This window comes from Homo sapiens, chromosome X (genome assembly GCF_000001405.40).
Source record: "Homo sapiens chromosome X, GRCh38.p14 Primary Assembly".
Classification (NCBI taxonomy): domain Eukaryota; kingdom Metazoa; phylum Chordata; class Mammalia; order Primates; family Hominidae; genus Homo; species Homo sapiens.
Genome location: NC_000023.11, coordinates 87,607,272 through 87,625,828, shown reverse-complemented (window position 1 = coordinate 87,625,828; position 18,557 = coordinate 87,607,272). Strand labels below are relative to the sequence as shown.

General features: G+C 34.6%; 1 protein-coding gene across 3 annotated transcripts in view; it reads right to left on the bottom strand.

Annotated features, from left to right (window-relative positions):
* Window positions 1-18,557, bottom strand: part of KLHL4 (kelch like family member 4) — a 152,249-nt gene that overhangs the window by 44,222 nt on the left and 89,470 nt on the right. For all 3 annotated transcript variants that reach the window (XR_938403.3, NM_019117.5, NM_057162.3), the window contains exons 2-6: window positions 11,785-11,952; window positions 11,259-11,395; window positions 7,701-7,897; window positions 3,406-3,618; window positions 33-219 (exon numbers count right to left, since the gene is read on the bottom strand). Coding sequence is in view for 2 of the 3 variants with exons in the window: in NM_019117.5 (NP_061990.2) it covers window positions 33-219; window positions 3,406-3,618; window positions 7,701-7,897; window positions 11,259-11,395; window positions 11,785-11,952 (902 nt within the window). In the remaining variant the exon portion in view is untranslated. The remainder of the gene's footprint in view (window positions 1-32; window positions 220-3,405; window positions 3,619-7,700; window positions 7,898-11,258; window positions 11,396-11,784; window positions 11,953-18,557) is intronic.

Here is an 18,557-nt window from a genome sequence, read left to right as displayed (position 1 = left end):
TTTTGAATGAAGACACTCTAAGTTATTTTTACCTTTCATAGCATCCATGCCTCCTACAGCATAAAGTGCCCCCACAGTTGATTTTCTAGGCTTTGTCCGAGGGCTTTGCATCATGGATCTTCTCTCAGGCAAAAGATGATACTTCATAGCTTCCATCAGGAGCTTCTGACACTCAAGATCACCAGTAAACATGGAACTGGTTTCAAGATCTGCCAGTAACTGAAAAGTAGTGATGCATGGTATATGAATGGAGAGTTCACCATTAGAAAGAACGTATTTGTATTTATATAACTTTAGAGGCTGGGCGCAGTGGCGTACACCTGTAATTCCAGCACTTTGGGAGGCCAAGGTGTGTAGAACGCTGGAGCTCAGGAGTTTGAGACCAGCATGGGAAACATGGCAAAACCTTGTCTCTACAAAAAAATACAAAAATTAGCCAGTTGTGGTTGCATGTGCCTGTAATCCCAGCTACTTGTAGGCTAAGGTGGGTTGATCGTTTGAGCCCGGGAGGTAGAGGCAGAGAAAACTTGAGCAAACCGAAATGTAGAAGTTTGAATATTTCATGCTTTTTGTTATTTAGTATGATTTTTATTTTCACTTATCAAGGAAAATAACTAAAAATCTGCTGGTAGTAGCTAATGACCTCTGCATATTTATTCAATTGACACATTATTCATCCTTTGAATATGTACACATATAATTTAAAGGAGCAAACATCAAAAAGCACTCATAGAAAGTATTGCTGAAAGCAGTTAAAGAGAATGGCTCTGTCTGCACAAGCAAGAATCTCCTAGTCTACTGCATGTGGCTAATACAAGTAGCAATCTTTTTGGCGGATTTGGGGTAGTTGTGTTGGTAGTGGTGGTCATGCAAACATGCTCAGTTAAAATAATAACAGACATGGTGGATGGTATCTGTATCATCTGATCACTTCTGCAGAGTATTCTGAAAGCAGGTGCTTTTTAACTGAGTTGAGATACATGCCTTAGTAACTAGCCAGCATATTAACAAAAATAGATGATCAATTCTTTTTAACTATCATTACCTGGCAGACAGTGACCTTATTTAACACTGATAAAAGTGAGGCAAAGTATTTTTCATGAGATGAATTGGAGAGAATTCAAGAGTATATTTCAGAATGTTGTCAAGAGTCATCTTAGATTGGTTCCCTTGGAGTTTTGGGTCCACAGTATCATGGGACATTGAGAGGAATAGTGAGCAGGTTGCTGGAATAGAAGAGGCAATCTTATTACATTAAACTTATCTGAATTTTCCTGCTCTTCATGTGTTAATTTCAGTTCTGTTCTCACTCCACCTGTGATATCTGATGGATCTTTATTTTGACTTGCCTCATGAGAGCCCAGGCATTTGCTTAATGCATATGCTTTCAGAAATAGGTCTAAAAACTAGGCTATGTATTTTTCCCTAAAAATACTCTTCAGAGATTCATCACCATCCTTTTTATATATTTCATTTCTAAGATATTTGTAAGGTCACCTTTTAAATTCTTTTGGAAAGCCTATATTTGCATGACATTGCCTATCACTACTACGATCAGGAAAAGTTGACACAGTCCATATTCTAGGTCTAAGGCATACTCAGAGGTGGGCTACCACGGTACTGTTGGTTGTACATTTGGGCTAGAAATTTCCCTCCATTCCAATAAAATAACAGAAGTTCAAACTAAGTTCATTTTGCTGAAAGTGTCATATAGACTTAAGGCTCTGTAAAGATACCAGCCTCTGATCTTACACCAGTGCATCTTAAGTTTTTTATGCCTAAAATCACAAGGAGAAATTGTTAATACACAGATTCTTCAGCCTGTTTCCATGAAATTGGTTAACTGGGTCTGCAGTGGGGCATGAGAAATTGTGTTTCTAACAAGTTCACAGGTCAAGGAACATTTTCAAAGGCAGCCTGAGAATCTCATATGTCATAGAACTTTTCTTGAAAATAATACATATAAGTGTATACCTTCACCCAAACATAAAATTTCCATAGATTCTAAAGATCATCTGTCAATCCAAAGATTTAGAACCCTGGATCTAAAATTACGTATATATTTATTATTTCTGTTTTTGGCGTTACTATTGCCTTCCTTGCTCTTTGGATAAATTTGCTATAACCAGAAGGGTAATCAACGTTCTTTCATTGCATATGGATAGATTCTTAAGAGCATGCATATAGTTCTATGGAATTTAATTAACAGCTGGAAGTTTTTAAAATGTGGAAAAATCAACTGGGCACAGTGGCTCACACCTGTAATCCCAGCACTTTGGGAGGCCGAGGCAGGTGGATCACAAGGTCAGGAGGTCGAGACCATCCTGGCCAACATGGTGAAACCTCATCTTTACTAAAAATACAAAAATTAGCTGGGTGTGGTGGCACATGCCTGTAATCCCAGCTACTTGGGAGGCTGAGGCAGGAGAATCGCTTGAACTAGGGAGTCAGAGGTTGCCGTGAGCCGAGATAGCCCCACTGCACTCCAGCCTGGCAACAGAGCAAGACTCCTTCTCAAAAAAAAAAAAAAAAAAAAAAAAGAAAAAAGGAAAAATCATCAACAGATTAACAATCTATTTTTCAATATTAACATTTAATTAGTAACTTTGTTATAAAAGTGAATTCATGTTAATATTTACAAAATTATTGATCCACTAAATCTATACGTCTCTGTTTTTAATTTGGATGATGTTTGAGGCCTATAGCCACAAATTCAATAGATATTACATGCATATGTGCAGTATATCCACATGTATTATAAATTTTATTGATCAATTTGCTACAGAGAAAAATCTGTGGTTATCACCAATGGTGAAATTATGTGGTGAGACTGCATTCCAAAATTCAGTATGAGTTGAGTTAACCCTGGATCTTATTCAAAGGTGTTTGTTCTTAGAATCATCTTTGCTATAATCCTTCAATTCAACATATATGGTGAGGATGCCTTTATAATTATGCTATAGTGCATCGAAAGTATGATAGCATTCTTTTGATCGTAGCGGATAATATTAAAAGATATTATTCAGTACCTGACTCCTTCCTAGACTCTCCTCTGGAAGGCTATTGTACTAATTACTAACATTTTGCCTAGAAGTTGTGCAGGAAAAAAAAAAAGAGTTAGCCTAGTCATTTTCCCAGCTTTTTACAAATATTATGTGGTGAAACTGAAACTAATGAGTATTCTGATGTTTATGGTTTAACGGTAGCTTTTTTTAGCCGTGTTTTTTTCTGTCTTTTATTAATGCCTCTAATTGATGGCTGAATATGTTCTTCTGTGAAACGAATCTTGTACACTCAAATTACCAGGAATCTTCTGAAAAAATAAAATTAGGCAAATAAGAAATGGATTAGTGCCTAGTGGTAGTTCAGAACTATATTTTAAATTACCTAGGTAATTTTCCATACCTGTGGTGGGAGTAATGGCAGTCTGATGTAAGAAAGCAGCATCCCCAGTTCTCCTTGCCTATTCTGCACATCATGCCCCACCCACTGCATTAGAGCATGAAAAATGGTCTCTTCATCAGGCACATTAATGTCATCACTGCACAGAAGTTTTGAAATTTCATTAGCTGGAAGCAGGAGGAATTCTTGGTTTTTTATTACCTCAATGAAGTGTTCCTAGAAAAGAAAGGTCATCTACTAAAACTTTGCACTTTAGAAATTTCTTAATGGAATAAGCATATCAAAGAATTTCATGTTCTTAAACTTCAGAAAATGCAAGAGACACAGATGTATTCACTTATAAAAAATAGGTGCTCCTGCTACCTGTGACATGGGTAACAGGGAGCCTTCTGGAGCTGAGAGGCCAAATGCTTCCACTGGGAATTATTTATAGAACATACAAGGTTAGCTTTAACTGCTTCACAGCCCACATAGGCAGAGTGTTGGAGCCAAAAGCGGCAGTTTTTGCTCCCAGCTGCCGTATGTGACAACAGCAGCTCATGACTTCAGAGCTGACTGTCTGGTTGGTCTTCAGCCAAAAGCCATAAGAAAAAGGCTGAAACTTTTTAAGGTGGTGGCTGTCTTGAAAGCCTAGGAGAGTTAACTCTGGCTATGTATGTGAGGCAGAAACAAACTGAATTCCTTGGAGATAAGAAAAAAGAATGATGAAAAACTCTTTCCTTTTATGGAAAAGTATGATCTTCTATTGACCAAGAGAAAAGTACTCTTTTGCAGTTGGTAACAATCTATGGGTTCAGGACAATCTAAAAATGATTCCTATAAAGTTTTTTCTTTAGGAAAGAGTGAGGATGTCTTTTAAATTTATATATTATCCCCGGCTAATATTTTCGTATTTTTTTTTTTAGTAGAGTGAAGCTCCTTCTCAAAAAAAATAATAATAAATTTATATATTATATCTCAATTCTTCTTTCATTGTGTTGTATTTTGTCAAATATACAATTTCAAACATCTGTGTTTCATTTTTTTAAATCAAAACACCATTATATTTTTTTCTAGTTTATAAATATTACATGTTCTTTCTTTGACAACAGAATGATCATTTTTAACATTTCTCATAGTGAAGATCTCAAGTTTTAAATGAAATAAAATATATTTCTAAAATGAAGATAAACATACCTACTTGGCAATTTATGTTGCATAATAAACAGATATTCCAGGAACAGTTTAAGCTAGTCTCCGAATAATTGGGGTCTCTAAATAAATCAAATCACCACCTCAGCTTTACTTTTAGTTGAGTCATTGTGGAAGTGAAACAATCAAAGAAGAAAGTTATCCAGACAGCAATAATCAATGTTGATACACCCATCAGAAAGCTCTGATGCCGTAAGTTTCAAACTGGCCTATTTAGACAAATAACTCTTTGTGATTAAGACAAACAACTGAAAGAGAACTGCTGTTCTTACTGTAGCAGATGTCTCTGGGTGAAGACCCTCCCACTTATACAAATAATGGTGATAGTAGTGCAACTATTAATACATTACACTTGTACAACACTTCACACTTTACTGATTTCTTTCACAAGCATTAAGTCATCACCAGTGTGATCTTGTGAGAAAGTGGAATTAGTCTGATAAGAAAGCAGGTCATATGAGTTGTCTGATTCCCTATGGAGTAAGTGGCAAAGTCTGGATTCAAGCATAAGCCTCTGAAATCATGCTTACTGCGTTTTGTTTGCTATTGCAACTGCTTTTCATAAGTGATATGATTTTTGTGAAAGAGTTTAGACAAATATAAAACTATAAAACTTAAGGTTATATAGTACCGATATTGTATATAAACTCTGAAACTGCATTAATATTACGGACACCTCAATATCTCCTCCTTTTTACCCACTCTCCAATTAAAAAATGAAGAGGAAAAACCTAGATTTTCTGATAGAATTTGTTATGACTTCAGAATTGCTTCCTAATGGGACTATTGAAAATTGCTGGGCAATATAGTAGATTAGTCTAAATAAAGAATAAGTGTAATTTTAAAGTATCTATATATTACATTGCAGTATCCAGTACTGTATAGAATTAATTAGTTTCACTTAAAGATTAATTTTAAATTGTTTTATTTTGGAATTATTTTGCTCCTAATTTCAAGGTAAACACTTTATTCTATGCAACTTCCAAGGGAGTCTTCTTTTGTGCCCTGGCTTAACTATTCATTTTATAAAAATCTACACTTATATTGTTGCAAAATTTACCAAATGACTATCACATATTTGATAAATGCTTCATTGATGCAGACAACTATCTGTATGATTTAAATGGTTAATTTTATGTATGAACTTGACTGGGTAACGAACGGGGTACCCAGACATTTGGCCAAATAGCATTCTGAGTGTGTCTGTGATGGTAGTTCTGGATGAGGCCCATTCACATTAGGGAAGGCAATCTACCTTGTTCAGTCTACCAATGCACATGATTACAATTGAATCCCTAAATTGTTTAGTATTATTCTTAGACATTAAAATTATTTGCATTATTAAACTATCAATCCAGTACTGCAACAACATTATTATAGCAAGACCTTTATATATTTTACTGTATTTACAATAGATACTAACATAACTAAAGAAGAGAGATTAAGAGAGACAACAATATTACATTTTTATGCACATTCTGCTTCAACACTCCGTTTTGGTCACATAATAGGAAAAGGAAGACAAGTTCATTTTGAGCAACAAAAATAATTCAAACTTTTTTCGGAATGTATTTTGCTTGCAAGTGTGTAATACTAAACAGGAAACTGCTAAAACTTAGTTCAAGAATTTAAGTAATTTAATAGGAAGTTTTCATGTTTATTTTTTGTGGTAGAATAAACCTTTGACCTTCATAACTGCTGTTCCTTTAGATTATATGGCATCTGTATTTAGGACGCAGGGACATAAATGGTGTAATTAAATGATATATTTTAAAATGTCAATCCATTATAATATGATTCTCCATATAATGGTATTGTTTTAGGAATACGTTTCAAACTTCAAATTTTGAGCAATGGACCTAGGGTGGGAAGTAGGAGGGAGAAAGATTTGATAAGAAGTTTTTAAACAATTGAAATTTTAGAAATTAAAAAATTACCTTCTGTATAAAACTCCAGAAAAATACTCTTTATATGCATCTCTATTCTAAAAAATGCTACTTTTATTTATGATTTCAATGTGTGCCTTTCTATTGTTCACTTGTATGCAATTGCTTTTTGTTTTTTAATATTAAATAACTGAAGCAATTTCATTCTTTGAAATATTTATATTTTGATTGGGTTTCACAAAATGATCCATCTCTTGTGTCCTTCCCTTCTTCAGAGGTTAAAAAAGTTTATTTTTACTCTGTCTCAGGGAAGTATTGGCATCTATTGTAAGGCTTTATTGAATATCCTCTGTCCATTTAATATGCTCTATCTTATCATATGCAACATTTAAATAATTACCACCTATGAACATTTGCATTAGATTTAATTGTTAATAGAATTGAAAGGGATTTTAAGTTAGTTGCATTAATGAATTGAGCTGTAAGTTATTTTTAACCAAAGTAAAATTTGTTACTAAGACATAAAGAAGTTCATTCAATAAAATTATCTGGGCTGGGCGCAGTGTCTCATGCCTGTAATCCCAGCACTTTGGGAGGCTGAGGCAGGTGGATCACAAGGTCAGGAGTTCGAGACCAGCCTGGCCAATATGGTGAAACCCCATGTCTACTAAAAATACAAAAAAAAGCAGGGCATGGTGGCGGGCGCCTGTAGTCCCAGCTACTCGGGATGCTGAGGCAGGAGAATCACTTAAACCCAGGAGGCGGAGGTTGCAGTGAGCTGAGATTGCGCCACTAATTTTGGTAGTTTTTAAGCTCTGACAATTATTGACCCATTAATATTAGCATTTTTCCTTACTGAATGACACCTCACTTTCTTTATAAATCATAATTCGTACAATTTTACAAACTAAAGCTCTAATTGTGCAAAAACATCAGGGAATTAACATTTTCTTAATACTATAGATTCTATTTGAAATACGCAGTTGTACAATTTATTTTTTGGCAGTATTTTTATTTCCTTAAGTTTGGGGATTTAATTAAACATTTGTAATTCAGAAAAGGAAAAGCTTGCCTGAGTGCAGCTCAACCAGACAAATGTTTTTGTTGAATATATCATATGTGAAAGTCATCTACAAGTTATATAAGTTTATGTTGCTTATTAATTTTATTATAACATTAACATATTTTTACTACAAGTTCAGTTGAAGCAATTGATTTTACCATAGTGTATTTGTGTGCCACGTTCAGAAGTTCTGTACAGCCTTGGGCATCTCCAAATGATCGAATCCCTAAGCAGTTTGAAGGATGGAGCTGCTTTATGAGAAAATTGGAGCAAACATCAATGACCTGAGTCAGCTGCAGAAGACAAGCTGCAGCCAGCAAACTTTCAATGGTATCTTCTTTCAATTGCAGGACTCCTAGATGGTTTGAAAAAGCAAAGAATGATTATAAGTTCCATAAAGTAAAAACTACGTCAACTAGTTGACATTTTTTTTTTATTTTCCTCTCTAGTAGAGCTATGATTTTCAGCAGATTTGGAGCACATTTTGAGGCTAATATACGCAAGAGAGTCTGTCTGTAAACACTAATAAGATGGCTGAAATGAACCAGATTAGGTTATCAAAAATGACTGTAACAAATAAACAGTGAATAACACTATTGTAAAGAACAGCAACTTGTCACTTCTTTATCATCTTAGGCCTGCATTTAAATCTTATATTAATCATTTCACATTGTATATGTACATGAGAATATTACGTTGTACACCTTAAACACATACAATTTTAATTTTTAAATCATACCTGTATAAAGTTGAAAAAACTTTCATTATGACTCAAAGAACATTATGTCATATTGTATAAGAATCATACAATTGGCCATGCAAGTAACTGTCATTGTGAGGAGGTAAACATCTTGGTAAATAAAAAAAGCATTAAGCTTAATTGTCCGTTTATTTTGTAAGAAGAACACTGAACTTTTATGCCTTTTTTTTTTGTATCTACATTAGCTGGTAAAGATGTATTTGCCCAAAATATTATCTCTAGAATTGACCCCTGGCACTGTCTCAAGAGGAAGAAAATGTTGCCAAGAGTCCACAAATGAATAATTACTTATTTGCTTTGTTATAAAAAAAAAAACAGTCTCTTTTTGAAAATATCTGTAATGAATTTTACAAAACAGAATCAGAAGCAATTTGAGTTAGTCCGTTTATATTTATATGTCTGTATTATTTTTAGAACAAGTGTTATTGAATAGTTATTGCAAAAATTCTGCGATTTTATGAGACATTCCTACTTTTTATTGTTTTAGCCAAGTTATAAAGAATGTTTCAAATGGCTGATATCAATTACAAACTATTCCCCTAAAGTTTTCCCTTCTAAAATACCTTAATATGGGGCTCATATAGTTGCATAACCATAAGGAAAAGGGTAATACATATTGTGAGGTCCTCTATACATAGTTCAACCTGTAAAATATATTGTAAAGGGGTCCAGCCCATCAGCAGACTCTCTTGTATTGTTCTTGTTTTGATTTTGAAGGGAGAGCCCTGCCCATATCTCATGAGACCTAGAGAAGTATGATCTATTCTCCAATTCAGATATAAATATTCATCTGCTATAGACATTTAAATTTGGTCTGGTTATTAGGAAGAATATTCATTCAGAGGAATAGTTATAAATGTCTTCGATACAGTAGGAAAGCATTGTATATTACAGTGTACAGTATTCAGTTACAAGCATGCTTAAGAAAGGCTGTTTGGAGCTGCTTCAAGTTTCACTTCATTAAAGAGTAAAAGGATAGTCAAGCCAGCTGGCTGAATTATCTTATCCTACGAATGCTTACTGGAAACAAAAAGATGTTTTCTAAAGATTAAAATGTATCAGGTGGAAGAAATAAAGTTCTTTCCATTTCACTCCTGATTTTAAAAAGCTTATTGAAATTTTAGAGCATAATGAAAATTTAGGGAATATTTTTGCTTAAAGGCTTGTCAGGAGAAAGGTGAAAGTTGAAGGAAGGAATGAAACACTGTAAAATTTCAAAGTAGTTTTGTTAGAACCGTGGTCTTCAAATAGCATGCATACCGCTAGAGTTACATAAAACCCATCTGAGACGCAGATCAATTTCATGTAAAGAAATTTCAGTACCTCAAATTCCATACATATCCCTCCTAAAAAATGGTCTGCTCCCAAAACAGTTGTTACCACACAGGTTTTACTTTCCCAGTGTCCTTTCCATAATTTTCTTTTTTCTCACCTCATAAAAGGAAGTCACATTGCTCACCTATCCCAAAGTATACTATGCTACATTATGGGGTTGTGGCATAGGAACAACTTTGAAATAAAAGTTTATTCATACATATTTTTGTTAGGATCTAAATCATATCATATTCACACTTTCAAAATGTACAATCTGGTGTTTTTTAGTATATTCAAAAAAGCTTGCAACCTGTATCACTATCTAATTCCAGAACATTTTCACCACTCCCAAAAGGAACTCCATACCTATTAACATTCATTCCCAATTCCCTCCATATTCCTACAACCAATAATATATCTTCTGCCTCTACAATTTTTTTTATTTTGTACATTTAATGTAAATGGTATAATAAAATAAGCGATCTTTTGTGACAGGCTTCTTTTATCTGGCATATTTTCACACTTCATCCATGTTGTAGTATCTATTACTACTTCATTCCTTTTTTATTGCCTATTAATATTACATTGTGTTCATATACCGTATTTGATTTACCCATTCCTCAGTTTGTAAACATTTGGGTTGTTTCTACTCTTTAGTTATGAATGATGCTTATGTGAACATTTGTGTACACACTGTTGTGTGGACATGTTTTTAACTCTTGGGTATATAACTATGAATGGAATTGCTAAGTTATAAGGTAACTATTTTGTTTAACTTTTGAGGGACTGTCATACAGATATATTTTTAAATGAATTGTTGTTGGTACCAAATTCTCATGGGATTGAGATTTGTTAGATACATTTAAAATGCAAACTTAATAGTGCTTTATAAAAAGATTAATATTTACAATATTTTGGGGATTATATACTTTACAAATATTTAAAATTACAACATATTTTAGTCATTAATGGAAAAATGTAAGGAGAGCATATCGCTTTTCAAAATTATTTTACAGACAGTGCAAGCAAAAATGTTTGAAAATGACTCTGTTGGAGAAAGCCAGGAGGTAAGCTTTTAGTCTTAAGAAGAGCCTAAGTATACATAATCAAATAAAAATATTTTAATACTAAGAGACCCTGAGGATGAATTAATCATTCTGGAATAAAAGTCAAAATACTTTTTAGTCCCCAAATTCATTGTTACCTTTATTTGCAGTTTGAATAGATATGAAAATTATTCTGAATGAACAGAATGACTAAATCTCTACTGTAGGATTGGAAGATCCCATTCCCAACTCTACTTTTTACAAACAAGAATGTGCCCACACCATTCCAGAATTGTTCCTGTATGTTTGTGTTAAATAGTTGTCTGCTCTCATGGTTAAGGTATTTTCTACATATTATATACCTCTTCTTCTTTTATATTATCGAGTTTATATCCTAACTATGCCTTTTTATTACTTTAGGAAATTTATTTAACTGATCTATTCTTTAGTTTCCTCACCTTTGTAGTTGTAGTAGCAGTATTACTACTATGAAGAATAGTAGTAGTATTAGTAGCAATAATAACTACTACTACTACTAATAATAATGTGTTATGTAATGTAGGGTCATTATGAGTTAATGTGTATTTGGCACTTACCTGTGTAAGCATACTGCACCAAGGAATTTAGTGCATTTGGATCTACTCCTTCCATCCTGACCTCTTCTTGTTTGGCTTCAAGCACATCATTAGTAAACATTGCAGCAAAATAATCAGACACTGCGCTGAGAACCAACCTGGAAATAGGAAATATTTGTAGGAATTTAAATGAGTCAATAATTTCACTGAAAAGCATGAAATGGATTCAGCAAGTTTGTAACACTAGTGAGTCTGTTTTCTCCATAAAATCTTTATAATTCAGTTAAATGTAGTGAAGTTAGAAAGGTCAAATACATAAACTGATCTTTTTTAGAGGGTGTGTTTGTGCTGTACTTTCCATCATCAGTCTTTTCCAAGTTTGGATCTTCTAAATAATACACAGAGAAACAGATCATATAGGCGAAGACTTTTTCAATATAGGAAAATAAATATTTTTACAATATTCCAGTTTATAATCCATGTACTCATTATCTCTTATTTATAATTGCCCTACTCAAAACCATTCTGTATACATAAAAATACTTACCTATGGGCTGGGATGCGGAGGTGTCCTGCAATCAGTAGCACATCACATAGTTGTTTCTCTTTCAAGTAGTTCTCCATTTTACGAAGAGTTTGCTCTGCGTGGTTTATAACATGGAACTGCTCTTCAGATCTGGTGGCATTCATGTCTTCAGAGTGTTGTGTATCTAATCTGAAAAGGAAGTAAGGATGAGAATATGGTTCATCATATAATTTTGTAAAAAATTTAATTTTTCTCTAATGAGAGTACAAACATGTAGTGGAAATTTAGGCATACCAACTTCTAAAGGAAATATGTTGGATTAAAGTAAAATTAAAATCTGTTTTCCGATCTTAGATATTTTACTATAATTACTACCTAACCTCTCATTAAAGTGAAGTGTGCTGGTTATTATTTATATCTGAAATGTAACCAGAACTATGTACAATTCACCAATAGGGCTAGTGCTGGTTGTTATATTCACAGACATAAAACCTACATTCTTTGATTTATATGGGTATTATAATTACGTCAATAGGCAGGAAACCCTTAGACCTGAGTCAAAATACTTTTAAAATTTTTGATTATGTCCTGAAGCTTCTCCCTGGAGTACTCATTACACATCAGAAATATTCCTCAAAGAATTTCAAGCCTAAGGGTTTCATAGCATTCTTTACACTATCAATCCCATTAAGAAACTGGACATAATTCCACCTTTTATTTCTTAATATTTAGTCAAACGTGATAGCTATTGAATTTACAATAATAAAAGCAAGCTACCTGTATTTTCAACATCACACAATGGTGGAATTTAAATCTCAACACAAGTACACACAGGCTTACAATCAGTAGGAGATGAACAATTGATTGATAAGATGAATGCACTTAATTATTTTGCTTATTACATTTCTTGCATCCAGGCATCATTTTCTAACCACCAGTTAGGATTAGTTTTAGATCTCCTCACTCCCGATTCAGTCTGTGTTTCTTTTAAGACAGTTGGTCCAAGGTGATATTACTTTCTCTGTTCAATTCAAATATATTATCACTCTTTAAATCTTCAGTCATAATATTGTACTGATAAGAAGGGATCATGGTATGAATAGCTCAAAAATTGCCTGCTACCTCCCTTCAGATGCACTCTTGTTGACTTGTTCTGGAAAAGAACAATTTCTTGGCACCGTAGACTGAAAAGCATTCAGGTTGCACTTAACTCAAATTATCCTAATCTTTTCTCTTTTCTAGTAATGATTCAGTTCACATTAATTGAGTCAAACATTCAATGTCGAATTAGCTTAGCTCCCAAAGTGCTGGGATTACAGGTGTGAGCCACCGCACCCTGCCATGCTTACTGGATAATTTTATGTGAAGAAATGATGTATCCCTATTTGTGAAATAAGTATTTTAATATACCACATGTGATTATAGCGTAAAATATGCTGTTGTAAATCACGAAAATTATTATTTGAATGACAATATTATGCAGTCTTGTGTCACTCAACAACAGAGATACATCTGAGAAATGCATCATTAAGGGATTTGTTGTTGTGCATCATTATAGACTGTACTAACCCAAAGCTACATGACCTAGCCTACCACTTAACTAGGCTATGTGGTTTATGGTATAGCCTATTGCTTCCAGTTTACAAACCTGTACAGCATGTTACTGTACTGAATACAATGTAGGCAACTATAGCACAATAGTAAGTATTTTTTCATCTCAAATATACAAACATAGAAAGAGCACAGTAAAAATATAATATAAAAGATGAAAAATGGAATACCGGCATAGAACACTTACCATGAGATAACCTTTTAAAGACCGAAACTTGCTCTGGGGGTAAGTAAGTGAATGGTGAGTTAATGTGAAAGCCTAGCACATTTCTGTACATTACTGTGGAATGTATAAACACTGTACATCTAGGCTGCACTAAATTAATAAACAATACTTTTTCTTTAATAATAACTTAATCATAGCTTTCTGTAACTTTTTTTACTTTACAAACTTTAACTTTTAAACATTTGATTTTTTAAATAACACTTAACCACACTGTACAGATGTAAAAAACATTTTCTTATATCCTTATTCTAAAAGCTTTTTTCTATTTTTAATTTTTTTAGCTGTTAAACTCTATGCTAATTGTTACACAAACATATGCATTAACCTAGGCCTATACAAGGTCAAGATCATCAATATCACTGTCTTCTGCCTCCACTTCTTGTCCCAGTGGCAGGTTTCTAGGGGCAATAAGACACGTGGAGCTTTCATCTCTGCCTTCTTCTGGAATGCCTCCTGAAGGACATGCCTGAGGTTGTTTTACAGTTAACTTTTTTTTTAAGTAGAAGGAATACACTCTAAAATAGTGGTAAAAATAGTATAGTATAGTATAGTATAGTATAGTATAGTATGTACTTAAACCAGTAACATAGTCATTTATTATCATTATAAGGTACTATGTACTGTACATAATTGTATGTGGTATACTTTTTTATATGACTGATAGTGCAGTAGGTTTGTTTACACCATTACTACAAACATGTGAGTAGTGCATTGTGAACAATGGTTGCATTGTCACTAGCTAATAGGAATTTTTCAGCTCCCATATAATCTTATGGGGCCATCATCATATAAGCGGTTTTTCATTGATCAAAATGTCATGATGCAGTTCATAACTGTACTTGAACCAGTTCCATCATGTCCCAGAGTATTTGATCTGACCACTATGCTCTACCACCTCCAATCTTAAACACTAGTATAGAAACCAGACACTAAGATGTTAACACTTGAAAAATATATGAATGTTTTTACTTACCAAATACCCTCTTTAATATTTTTGTGGTTATTTCTATAGCCCTTGTAAAATATGCCATACATTAAGGAAATTGTCTTAAATCATTTGTGATATTTTCAGATTCATTAACAGTTTTAATAAAAGCAATTTTTTAATTTAAATAGAATTTATATTCTCAGAAGCTTTTTTTCTTTTTTTAAGAAGAGACAGAATCTCGCTGTGTTGCCCAGGCTGGAGGGCAATGGCCTGATCTTGGCTCACTGCAACTTCTGCCTCCTGGGTTCAAGCGATTCTCATGCCTCAACCTCCCAAGTAGCTGGGACTGCGGACGTGCACCACCACACCTGGCTAATCTTTGTATTTTTAGTAGAGACAGGGTTTCACCATGTTGGCCAGGCTGGTCTCGAACTCCTGGTATCAAGACATCCACTAGCCTCAACCTCCCAAAGTGCTGAAATTACAGGTGTGAGCCACTGCGCTCAGCCACAGAGGCTTGTTTTAATCACCTAATCCTTTTTCATTTACACTGCTCAAAGTTAAAAAGAAAGTGAAGAAATTTCACAAATGCAGTTAAATGTCTTTCAGTTATGTGTTTTATTGGAATGGAATGTTTAAGAAACTCAGCAATGATTTTGATATTTTTCTACTATCATATATATTAATATGTAAATTTAAATAATTATATTTTGATAATTCTAAATGCAGAAATGTTCAGAAAATAACATACAGAATTATTGTCTATGTCAAATTAAGAAGACAGAAGAAAACTATACATACAATTTGGAGTCAGTAGAAAAAGTAAGCCATCAGATATTCTTCCTGATACCCAAATACTACCCAATATGGTTAATATTTAGACTCATTGTTTCTGCTGAATGTGTGTGTGTGTCCTAACTTTCAATAGAACTTTGCATTTAAACATCTCAGGAGATTTATTCATTCCACAGCTACTTATTGATTTCTTAGTGCCTGAACAGAACTATTTTAGGAAGTGAAGATATAGCAGTAAACACAACAAACTCTGATTCTCATGCACTTTGTCTCATGGGAGGGCTTAGAATGTAAACAAATAAGTATGTCAGGTAGTGTTAAGGTCTATGAAGAGAAACAAAGTGAGGGAAGAGAGTCGAGGCTTTGGGATGGGGAGGCTGGTGGCATTTTATGTAGAGTGGTAATGGAAGGCATCTATGATAAGATTAATCAGCTGAGAAAACTGAGAAAGCAAGCCATGTAAATATCCTTGATATAGTTTTGACATTTGTCTCCTCCAAATACCATGTTGAAATGTGATCCCCAGTGGTGGTGGTGGGATCTAGTGGTAGCTGTTTGTGTCATGGAGGTGGATCCCTCATGAATGACATGATGTTGTCCTTGGAGTAATGTGTGAGTTCTCACTCTTTTAGTTTATGTGGGAGCTGGTTGTTTAAAGAGACTAGCACCCTTCAAGGACTTCATGTCTAAAACACCAAAAGCAATGGCAACACAAGCCAAAATTGACAAATGGGATCTAATTAAACTAAAGAGCTTCTGCACAGCAAAAGAAACTACCATCAGAGTGAACAGGCAGCCTACAGAATGGGAGAAAATTTTTGCAATCTACTCATCTGACAAAGGGCTAATATTCAGAATCTACAATGAACTCAAACAAATTTACAAGAAAAAAAACAAAAAACCCCATCAACAAGTGGGCAAAGGATATGAACAGATACTTCTCAAAAGAAGACATTTATGCAGCCAACAGACACATGAAAAAATGCTCATCATCACTGGCCATCAGAGAAATGCAAATCAAAACCACAATGAGATACCACCTCACACCAGTTAGAATGGTGATCATTAAAAAGTCAGGGAACAACAGGTGCTGGAGAGGATGTGGAGAAATAGGAACACTTTTACACTGTTGGTGGGACTGTAAACTAGTTCAACCATTGTGGAAGTCAGTGTGGTGATTCCTCAAGGACCTAGAACTAGAAATGTCATTTGACCCAGCCATCCCATTACTGGGTACATACCCAAAGGATTATAAATCATGCTTCCATAAAGACACATGCACACATATGTTTATTGCGGCAATGTTCACAGTAGCAAAGACTTGGAACCAACCCAAATGTCCAACAATGACAGACTGGATTAAGGAAATGTGGCACATATACACCATGGAATACTATGCAGCCATAAAAAAGGATAAGTTCATGTCCTTTGGGACATGGATGAAGCTGGAAACCATCATTCTCAGCAAACTGTTGCAAGGACAAAAAACCATACACCACATGTTCTCACTCATAGGTGGGAATTGAACAATGAGAACACATGGACACAGGAAGGGGAACATCACACACCGGGGCCTGTTGTGGGGTGGGGGGAGCAGGGAGGGATAGCATTGGGAGATAATACCTAATGTAAATGAGGAGTTAATGGGTACAGCACACCAGCATGGCACATGTATACATATGTAACAAACCTGCATGTTGTGCACATGTACCCTAAAACTTAAAGTATAATAAAAAAAGTCATGGGTACACTAAAAAATAAAATAAAATAAAAAGATACTAGTACCCTTCCTCTCGCTTGATCCCTTTCTTGCCATGTGACATGCATGTTCCCCTTTCAGCTTCTGCCATGAGTAAAAGCTGCCAAGGCCTCACTAGAAGGCTTGCAGATGCTGGTGTCCTGCTTGTACAGCCTGCAGAATCATGAACCAAATAAATCTCTTTTCTTTACCCCGGATCAGGTATTCCTTTATAGAAATGCAAAATGGACTAATAAAATCCTAGTAAAGGTAATTCCTGGGGAAAAAAAAAAGCCCTTCAGAAGGGAAACTGTGCAGTGCATCGTTCAAGGAACTGCAACAGTCCAGTGTGGCTAAAGCAGAACTAGTGAAAGGAAGAGAATGGTGAGGTCAGAGAGCTGGTGATACACCAGGTCATGCAGCAACACTGGGAATTCACATTTTGAACAGAAGTAGCATGATGTGATTTAAGTCTTTAAAATCTCCTGGCGTTTATGAGGCAAGGGTGGAAATGGGAAGAAGAATTACAAGTGTATTGTAGTAATCAAGATTATAGAAGTGGTGGTATTGATAGAAGTAGTTAGGAGTTGTTAAATTCTGAATACATTTTAAAAGTAGAACCAAATAGATTTTATGATGGATTACGTAAAGAATGCTAAAGAAATAAACCAAAGATGATTTCTAGGTTTGACATCAGCAACTGCCTAAATGGTAAAGATGGTTACTGAGATAGGGAAGGATAGGTGTAGTAATCATAAGTGTGTTAGGATATATCAAGTTGGTGATACCTATTATAATTCCAGGGAGATAATTGAGGAGAATGTTAGATTTGTGACTCTGGCATTAAGGGGAACAACTGACATATAAGTGGGGCCATTGCCAACAATGACATTTAAGGCCATGGGACTAAATGATATCACCCCAAAGAATGCATGTTATTAGGAAAGGGGTTTGAGGTCATCTCTGGTGACTTCTACATTTAAAGATTATAAAAAGAATGAGGAGCAAGTTTTGGAAGTTGAGGATAAGAGATGAAGGTGAAGAAGAGCCGTTTATGAGAGTCAAAGGGTAAACTGACTAGGAAACTACATTAGGACTATGTAGCATTACAGGTCCAGTTGATTTTTGTGGTAATGTTTAAAATTAGACTATCAGTATAGTTCTTATTAGATACAGGCACAAAATACATGGCAAGCTAAACTTAACCAAGGTTTTTGTTTTTCTAGAAAAGCACAAAGGAAGAAGAGAATTTAAGGGCATATGCAGGTATGTGATTCTGATTATGCTACATGGAGTGTAAGCTGGGTAAGTAGCGAACTGAGGACATTAGGTATGTGTGAAAGTTAGTGGGTTGGCAGACCCAATAGGGCTAAAATAATTTTGAAGGAATGAACTGAAAAGGTAGGAGGAAGTGACCAGAGACTTGATTGCTTGAAATCAATGCTACGGAACATATGCCATTGTTGATAATGACAAGATGATGGAGTGTGGCCACA